At 42.4% G+C, this 2,773-nt stretch overlaps 1 annotated feature.

Annotated features, from left to right (window-relative positions):
• Nucleotides 1,498–2,059: an enhancer, noted in NCBI's record as "NANOG hESC enhancer chr3:30949959-30950520 (GRCh37/hg19 assembly coordinates)". NCBI's record gives its function as "activates a minimal SCP1, AML or CMV promoter by ChIP-STARR-seq in naive H9 embryonic stem cells {active_cell/tissue: H9 hESC(naive)}" and the evidence as "EXISTENCE:reporter gene assay evidence [ECO:0000049][PMID:30033119]".

The raw sequence follows: 2,773 nt of genomic DNA on the forward strand, positions 1-2,773 counted from the left end.
TAGAGGCCGGAAGCAGGCTACAATTGTGGTATTTCATCCCCATTTGTCAGCCTTAATTGCTGGGGATGTCTTGAGCTTATTTGTAACAAGAGGGAAAGGCCCAGTAAAAAGAGAAAGATGAAAATTCCTAGAGACAGAGGGTTCCAGGGCATGTTCCAAGTGAGGACTTTGGGGATGTCTGGGAATGAGGGGAGGATCACAAGCTCTGCTTTTATGAGTAATGGGAGGGAAATTGACTTGAGGGAATGTCTCATGAAAATCCTAGCATTTCTTAAGGTTTGGATGTGGGGAGCAGGAAAGCCCTCCCCCAGGAACTTGAGAACCCCCAGCTGACTCACGGGGCCCCTCCCAGGAGCCACCAAATCAGAATCACTGGGAGGAGGACCCCAGGACCTGCATTTTAAACCAGCACCCCAGAAAGCCACCATGTGAGAAATGATAGAGTAATTATGCCTCCTCTGAAGCCAAGTTGCCTGGGTTCAACTATCTTCTCTGCCAATAACCAAATATATGATATTGGGAAATTTACTAAATCTTTCTGTGCCCCAGTTTCCTCTTTTGAAAAATGGGCATGATGGGAACTACCTCAAAAGGGTATTGGTGAGGAGTAGATGAATGAGTGTATGGAAAGTACTCACAACAGTGTCTGGCACATAGTAAATACACAAGAAACGTGGACACATGGCTTTTATTTCACATTTTCTGTCATAATGATTCTCAGTTTACAGTATGAGCACGGATCACTTGGGGAAATGCATGAAAACTCCAAATTTTGCTGCTGAAATTCCAGAGAAGCTAATGAAATTGGTCTGAGATGGGCCTCTAAAATCTGTGTTTTAAACAAGTCCATTTTCCCCAACCTCTCCCCAGCCCCCATAATTTCAGTGTAAGTGGGCACAGGACCACACTTCCAGAATCATTGTTCTGCAGGATTGTGCCCATTGGGCTAGCTGTGCCCCTGCTCTCAGCTTTGCCTACTTGCAGGAAGGTCAAGATAGCCCTGACGTCTCTCAAGGCCCTCACTGGACGGTGAGAAGAGAAAGGACTGTCAATTAGAACTAATTATGAAGACTTTTTTTTTTTTTGAGATGGAGTCTTGCTTTGTCACCCAGGCTGGAGTGCAGTGGCGCAATCTCGGCTCACTGCAAACTCTGCCTCCCAGGTTCACGCCATTCTCCTGCCTCAGTCTCCCTAGTAGTTGGGACTACAGGCGCCCGCCACCACGCCCAGCTAATTGTTTGTATTTTTAGTAGAGATGGGGTTTCACCATGTTAGCCAGGATGGTCTGGATCTCCTGACCTCATGATCCGCCTGCCTCGGCCTCCCAAAGTGCTAGGATTACAGGCGTGAGCCACCACGCCCAGCCTAATTATGAAGATTTTTAAAACAACTTTTGGTTTTAAAAACCTTTGACTCTGAAAGTATTTTTACCCAAATTAGTCATTTGTCAGCCTTTATTGCTACTGGTGTTTTCTTTGGGGGGAAAGCAATTTGAAAAGAGATACATGTGTATATGTAGGAACTTTCAGAGACATGAGGCAATTTTTCTAGTGTATTTATAGCACAGCCATTACTATGTGCGCTGGTTTCAAACTTAACATTACAAAACACAAGAACAATAAAACTTAAAATGTAAACGAGCTCAGCAAACCAAACGTTTTCTTCCAATTGGGTAAATGGTTCTAAAATTTTAACTTGAGTATTCAGCGCAAAGGATCGTTATTGACATAAATAAAAATAATGGAAAGAGTGACTGGAGGTGCAATTAGATTCCTCCTGGCAACTGTATGTAAAGAATGGTAATTGTAAAGGAGAAGACAGGTGTCTGGCCTCCTGTGTGCAATGCAAATGAGCCTCACTGGCTTTTTTTTCCCCCACAACGTTTAGTTAAAGTACTGTGAGTACTGGCTTTAAGTTGGGTAAGGCTGTTGTTTGCAGGTGATGTGAAGGTGTCCTGGGTCCTCTTGCTGATGAAAAGCAGTGGCCAACAGGGTTAACTTCTGTTATCTAACCCAAAGCAGATTCATAGTAATTTATCGGGATTTTCTGTATTTTTGATTTAAAAAAAAATTAGAGCTTTGCTGCTTACAAGGCTTTTAGACCCATTGACTCGAGATTGCAAATGGGCTGTCTGAAGCCTACACAGGTTTTCTTTTTGGCCTGCACAATGTTTTAAAAATAACTAAAGAGTTGCCAGGGTTTTTCTCTTGATTGGGAGAATTCACATTAAATTCAGATTTCAACTCTTAAAAAACATCATGTCGTGACCTATATTCTTGCATGATTGAAATGAGCTGGAGCCGTGTAGCAGCTGCTCCCTTTATATAGGGCATGTATTTTCTCTGTTATCCTCTCTGTGCCTCAGTTTCTTCATCTGAAAAATAGGGATAGTAGTTATTCCTCTTTTGTAGTTATTGTGATAAGCAAGGAAGTTGATATAGGCAAAACACTTAATGCCCAGCATTTAATAAGTGCCACAGTCTCCACCCAGCCCAATTGATTTAAATTCCTGGCAGGCACATAGTTTACATGCATTTGCATTTGTGACCCTTGCTAAGTCTCACAAATTTTTAAAAGTAGATACCAAAAAGAGTAGATACCAACGTTTCTAAAAAGCCGAGGAGTTTGAGGGCCTTTAGCACCTTCCTGCTAAAAAGAGCTGGCCCCAAGGAATTTAAAATCTGAGGAGAACAAGAACTAATTTGCTGAGGGGCAAAAAAGTGAGGGGACAAGTCTGTAATGATTTATAGACTCAAAACACTGTCTTCGTTAA

Source organism: Homo sapiens, chromosome 3 (genome assembly GCF_000001405.40).
Source record: "Homo sapiens chromosome 3, GRCh38.p14 Primary Assembly".
NCBI classification, from domain to species: Eukaryota; Metazoa; Chordata; class Mammalia; order Primates; family Hominidae; genus Homo; species Homo sapiens.